Consider the following 7,394-nt stretch of genomic DNA (forward strand, 5'->3'; position numbering starts at 1 on the left):
TGCAACTAATAACTATGATTACATTCAAAAAACCCTTGTCAGAAAATGACATGAATGCATATCCCATGACTTGACATTATTGCATTCTACACTCTGCTCCTGGGAGTCACTTTTTTAAGGTCTGTCGGTGAGAAAATCTCTATTTCTCAATAGAAGCCCACATTTTACTAAATGAATACATTTTCTTTGATCAAATATCTATGTTGTTTTCCAGATAGACACTGTAATTTGTTTTTAAAGTGGGTAAACATTCTGCAGCCTTTCTCATTGCCTCTATTCTTTTATTATGGTCATCCCTCCAAAATAAACCTTAAAAATTACAACCTGCAAAGCCAGCATTGTTTTCATAGAGTCTCCTAATTTTCCCCATTGCTAAGGAGCATGCCATTTTGGTTAACTGCTGATAATAGTACATTGTGTTTAAGATTTGATAAAAGCATTCACATAAATTACAGATCAAGAGAGGTGTGTTTCTCTATCTGTAAAAGAGGTGGGTTAGACTAGAGTAAGCTTTAAGATCGCTTTCAAGTCTTACAGTATGAAAGTGGTCTTTAGGACTACAAAGAGCACATCTGTCCTCCAATCTTCATGCAGATTCTTGCTAATCTAACCCAACATGGAGGAGTAATGCTTCAAAAGAATTTGTTTCCACAACCTTTCTCAGAAACCCTCGCCGATTACCTTATCAAGGAGACCACTTTCTTTTTGAAGTGGAGTATTCTATGCATAATTTCAGGCTAAATGACTTTTTGTTGGGTTATTAAAGTGGGAGATGGAAAACAAACGGTACTGCTTAGAAATCTCTCTTAGAGATGAAAAACACTAAAGTTCAAAAAGATCGAGTGATTTTCTCAAGTTCACACAACTGGGTTGGGATTTTTGGCTACACATTCGCTCACTTCTTAATGAATCATGCACTGAGTCCCTATCCCATGGCAGGCCCTGTACATAGTGGTAGGAATCTCGGGGATGTAAAAGGCAAGACCTTGTTCTTCATGGATTGTGGTGTAGGTGAAGGAACTTACACTAACAAGATAATGAACAATTGTCATAGAGAGTGACAAATGTTTCAAAAGCTTATTGACCCCAAGGTGCAGCGGTGCACATTAGAGGGCACCTAAGACAGCCTACAGGGGTCAGAAAAGATGTCTCAGAGGGACTCACACCTGAGCTGAGTTGTGAAGGAAGAGCAGGATAGAATGAGCCAAAGATAAAGACTCCAGGCAAAAGCAAATGAGCCTGAGGGAAACTGGAGCCAAGGCAAGAGCAGCAGAAAAGAGCAAAGCCAGCCGGTGGTCAAGGTGGGCTACTGTGTATGCAGAATGAGGAAGCTGGCCAAGTAGACATGTTTCAGATGATGAACATCCTGTATACTAGATGCATTGGAACTTTTTTCATCCCCTCAACTCCACCAAGCCTCTGTCCACTCTTGGTACCTCTCTCCAAGTAGACATATTTCAGATCATGAACATCCTGTGTACTAGATGCATTGGAAATTTTTTCATCCCCTCAACTCCACCCAGCCTCTGTCCACACTTGGTACCTCTCTCTATTCATATCTCTGGCCTCAAGGAGGGTATTTGGCATTAGTAAATAAATTCCAGAGATACTAAAGTCAGATTTTCTAAGACTGGGTGAATGACTCCATGGAAGAAGTGAAAAAGAGGAAGTTGTAATAGGGAGACCTCTTCGGAGCAGATGCAAGAAGATAAGATGTCTCTGCTTCCCCACCAGCTTCAATTCTCTCTTTGAAATGGCTAAGCAACTCCCCTGTGGGTTAGCTGAGGATAATAGAGAAGACAACAATAGCTAATGTGCAGGCATTTTAGCAGGAGCTAAATGAGAAACACAGACACCAAACAGCCTAATTAATAAGGGAGCTATGAATATAATGTCCAATGAAGTATTCCCAGGAAAGGCCATTGGGGCCCACCCTGTTGAGTGCAGTGGGAGGAGAGACAAGCAGGCAAAGCTAGTATTCATTCCCCTACACCAGGGGATGGCCAACGTTGTCCTAGACTGTAAGGGTGATAATACCTGTAACATCTATTCCCAGGGTAGTGGGAAAATTAGGGGTGCCATTGTTCAAATTATGAGTGCCATTGTTCAAATTAGGAGTGCCATTGTTCAATGGGAAGTGTTTTGTTTGCTTATTTATATTTGTTTAGTGAGATGATGGGCAAGGCGTGGTGGCTGATACCTGTAATCTCAGCACTTTGGGGAGGTAGATTGCTTGAGGCCAGGATTTGGAGACCAGTCAGGGCAACATAGAAAGACCCCATCTCTACAAAAACTGAAAATATTTAGCTGTGCAGGGTGGTGCATGCCTGCGGTCCAGCTACTCAGGAGGCTGAGGTGAGAGGATTGCTTGAGCCCAGGAGTTTGGGGGAAAAGTGAGCTATGATCATGCCACTGTGCTCCAACCTGGGCAACAAGCAAGATCCTGTCTCTAAAAAAATTTAAAAATTTTAAAGTGAGATGATGGACACCAGCTACAGAAGTCAGGTCTTCCACACTTCTTCTTAATTGCATTATGGGAATCTCCCCAAACTACCTCACTACACCATTAGTAAAAATAGGTCCTGGAAAAATCTTTACAAGAGACATGTCTTCATCTTAAATGAATGAGGACTGTGAGTGACAGAACGTTTACTCAGCAGAGTGACAGGAAAGGTAGTGTGCATTTGCCCACGAAGTTATAGCTACAGCATAGACTTCTGGTGGCAAAGCAAGCACTGACATCCTAGGGGTGGTTTTTGCAGAGTTCATGCAAATGAAACATGAGCAGTGACTGTTGTAGGGCTTTGAATCAACAAAGTGATATGCCAGTAATTAGGTTTCAACTGACTCAGATCCCATTCTAGGCATTAATTGGGAGAAAATATGCAGATTGCTAGTTAAGAATAGAACAGTTATAGTTCCATAGTCATTTTCTTTCTGTTCATCAATTTGTTTGATTTCTTGTGTGGCAAACACTTGCTCTTCCCTGTATATGTTTAGCTATTTCAGATGTTTTCTTTTTTTTAAAAAAAACAGCCATTTAATAATTAAATTAGAGATGTCTTTAAAGCACAATTGTATGTCCCTATGGCCTATGGGAGATTTTGTTTTGAATATTGGTAGCTTCTGGGATGACAGTGTTTCAGAGAACCCCAGAATGGGAGGAGGAAAACCTGTGTCTTCCACCTCTGTGTGTGCTGGGGTGCGGGGGGAGGAGGCGACACTGAGGCAAGGCTGAAATTCTTGAAATAAATATGTACTAAAGGGTCAGGGTATAATGAGCCCTACAGTTTACCCACATTTAGATAAAATTATCTGCCCAGTCAGGTTGCAGAAATTTCTGTCCACCCTCATATTGCACACACTCCTTTTGTTCACATTTATAGTTCTGATTAACTTTACTTAATAGGCTTTTCTCTTGTAACTTTCTGGCACTTGCTCCTCCCAAGGCCTTTTCTCCTGACTATGATTCTATGACTTGATTTAGTTTGACTCCTGGCTGGATCAGGGTCTATTAATGTGTCTGGCTCTGTGTTAAGGGATACACATACAGCAGGTGCATGTCAAGTTGGTGAATGGTACAGAGAAAATGTAGGAATAAAAACTGTTCATGAGTTCAAAGTTTAAACCAACGATCATAAAAGTCAATTGATTTTAGGTAACATGAAGGAGAGAAACAGACTGTCATAGAGAATAAAGTGAAGTAATGGGCAGAAGAGAGCAGCGGTTCTCAAACCTAAGCATGCATTGGAAACATCCGGAGTACTTACTAAGACCCAGGTCCTGGGCCTACCCTCAGATATGGGGTGGGCCAGGAATTTGCCTTCCTACAAGTTTCAGTATCATGGAGCAACCTCTGAGTAGAGCTAAATTAGAGAGCACATCCTTCACAAAAGCATTCAAATTACACAACAAAAAGTTTTTAAAAAATGCAGCTCTGGAGCACACACACAAACACATATACTCACACAAACATAGTAACTGCAAGACAGATTAGATTCCTGTTTATAAATTCTGATACAAACAAAATTAGGCAGGAGAGTTATGAAGAACTAGGCAGTGAGCCTAAAACAAATCAGAGTTAATTTGGAACTGCTTCTTTTACCATTTTCTTTGTTGTTCAGGGAAGCCTCATTGAGAGATTTAAGAGTAGTTGCTATTATACTAGGCCTGTATCAAAGAGCAGGTGAGGACTAGGACAAGAAATATTATGAAACCCTCAGTAATCACCCCATTTTTTTTTACGAAGATGAAATCGAGCCGAGCCAAGCCAACCATTCACCAGACGAAGAGGTAAACAGGAAAAATCTTCCTAAGGCAAATTTCAGGTATTTAGAGAAAAAGAGATATCTTTACCTGGAAATTAGAGGATAAAAGACCAATTCTGGTGGAATCACCTTAGTCAGGAAATACATTTTGATTTCTTAAAGCCATAGTTGCCATATCTAATGCATATTATGTACCATGTACTATATTAAGAACATTACTTCATTTCATCCTCACAATAATCAAATAGTGCAGATATTACTATTATTTTCACTTTACAATGGAGAAAACTGAGGCATAAGGAGGTAAAGAAATTTGTCTAAATGCAAAAATCTATCACGTGACATAGCTGGAATTAATATCTTGGTTTGCTTTCTACTACTTTAATATTGTAAGAGATTGCATTATACTGTTCCCTCTCCTTATATGCTCATGATTTTGAGATCTCCTGGAAGCATTTCTTCCCCCACCTCCCTCTCTATCTATCAGCAACATAGCAATCCCCACAAAACATGCTGAGCAACAGGTTCTATTGACTGTATCCTGAGAGAAAATCTACAAGCTAGTGAAAGCTTGCCTAGTTAAAGCAAGTATATAGGCAATTGCCCCAGGAGTGCAGATAGTGCTATCATGAGACCTGGTACAGGTTTTAAGTCTCTGATATTTCCTGAAAACATATAGGGGCTGTAGTTTTGAGATATAACTCTTATTCACATCCATAAATATTGGTTTCACTAAAAATCTTTCTTGGTATACTCAAAGCATCATTATTCCCTTTAGGATATAGTTGACCACAAGTAACATTAAACTTGACCAAACGTGGCTTAAAATGAGAAGTCAGCCAGTTGAAAACAAGATGCCTGGAGGTGAATGGTCTAGGGCAGGTTCAGCCACTTGGTGATGCCACCCAGGACCCAGGCTGTTTCTCTCAATGCTCCCAGCCCATTACCTTCTCTTTTTTTTTGAGACGGAGTTTCACTTGTGTCGCCCAGGCTGGAGTGCAATGGCATGATTTCGGCTCACTGCAACCTCCGCCTCCCGGGTTCAAAAGATTCTCCTGCCTCAGCCTCACATGTAGCTGGGATTGCAGGCCTGAGCCACCACGCCCAGCTAATTTTTGTATTTTTTAGTAGACACAGGGTTTCACCATGTTGGTCAGGCTGGTCTCAAACTCCTGATCTCAGATGATCCACCCGCCTTGGCCTCCCAAAGTGCTGGGATTACAGATGTGAGCCACTGCGCCCAGCCCCATTCCCTTCACTTTCTGGGCTATCTCTGCATCCTTATCATGGCAGGCCAGATAGAAAGGAAGAACTGAGTTGGCATAAAGTGACTGTCTTTCCATCTAGGGTGAGAATCTTTCCTGGATGCCCTCTTCTACCCATAGTTGCAGTGGAGGACAGAAAAGAAGAAGAGGATAGACAAGATTGGTTCCAATCAATCAAGCTTTATTTCCTAGGTTTGGGCATGTGCTTCATCTGGGAAAAATAAAATTGCATCATGTTACAAAGATGAAGAAGGGTGTGGCTGTGGAGAGAAGGGCCACCGTGTCTACCATAGCCACTGTTTCCCAAGTATCAAGTCCTTTTGCACATAATGTCTCTGGTTGAGGAATGTAGGGAATAGATTAAATAGGACAGTGTTTGCCTTCTAAGAGTTCACGATTTAATGCAAAACAAAATGGCACTGTAGAAATCTAACATCACAAGGTAAAGTTAAAAACACCAGATAAAACAAAAACCTTACATATATTGTAGAAAAACAATTTCTCATTCCATCTTCTCAGATTTCAGATTTCATTATGCAGTAAATGCTAATTCCTGAGAAGGCTTTTATTTGTCAGATGAATATCTGATAGCAGAATCAGAATGTGCGTGGGCAGGCCACACATTTGCATCTGTTTTAATTTTTGAGAGTTGCTCTACTAAAGAGAAAAGGAACTTAATTTTATTCTGGGTCTGAAAATTATCATGAGTCACTCACAATAAATGTTGCACCATTACATATTAATAATAATTTTTAAAGTAGGCCTGCAGGCTGGGTCTTTATTGGATTCTCTTTCAGTGCTATTCAGTTATTGAGAATGTTGGCTTAAAATAAAAGGAAATTCACGAGTGATTTCTTAGGTGCCACATAGATTGTCTGTGATTTGGAGCACTGGGGTTTAATTTGCAATCTACACTATTTCTGTTATACTCCTGACCGCTTCTCTGCTTATGGGGCTTGTGATGACCTTCCTAGGCATTTCTATTCTGCAGTATTTTAAATAATTTCTAAAATTCATGACTAAGTAAAAACAATTTTTCAAACCTGTCTCTTTTGCCTCCTAAAAAGAGTCCATTTCATTTACACTCCTAGCCATTCAACTTGCATTGCTTATTAAAACAATTCACTTAAAGTCCTTAAGCATGGTGCCTGGCCGAGAGTCTGAGTAAGTGCTAAATAAATGCTAGTTATCAGCAGCAATAACTTTAAGATTTCAACTATCTCCAAACTTTACCCATGTACTCAAATGTTTAAGTGTGTAGACCCTGAAGCCAGACTACATGGAGCATTATCCTGTCTCTACTACCTACCGAGAACTTGGAGACTTTTTTGTCTCTTTACACTTCAGGCTTCCCCTCTGTAAAACAGGGTTAACAAAAGCACTATCTTAATTTTTTCTTTTTAAATATTATGTGGAAAAAATATATGTAATGCTACTATTACTGTAATGTTGCTACTACTGAAATGACTACTAATACTCCTACTTCTACTAATATTATTCCACATCACTCTTACTGTTATTGGACATGTTTCCATCTTCTCTACGAACTTGTATTCACCCTGTAGTCCAAAATTCTTTAAAGGTTGTATAACAAATTATCCCCAGAACTTAGTGGTGTAAAGCAAAATTTCAACATTTGCATGGCTCATCTCTGCTCAGCCAGGTCTGGACCCTGAATTCGGAGACTCAAAGGCTGGCGCCAACTGTCAGCTGGGGCAGCCACAGGCCGGGGGCTGGAATTATCCAGGCTCAGTCACTTATATGTCTGACACCTGGACAAGGAAGACTCAAACAATTGAGGGCTGGAACAGATGGAGCTCTCTGGGCATCTCTTTCCAAATATATGGTCTCCCTGCATCAT

The sequence above is a fragment of the Homo sapiens genome, chromosome 20 (genome assembly GCF_000001405.40).
Source record: "Homo sapiens chromosome 20, GRCh38.p14 Primary Assembly".
NCBI classification, from domain to species: domain Eukaryota; kingdom Metazoa; phylum Chordata; class Mammalia; order Primates; family Hominidae; genus Homo; species Homo sapiens.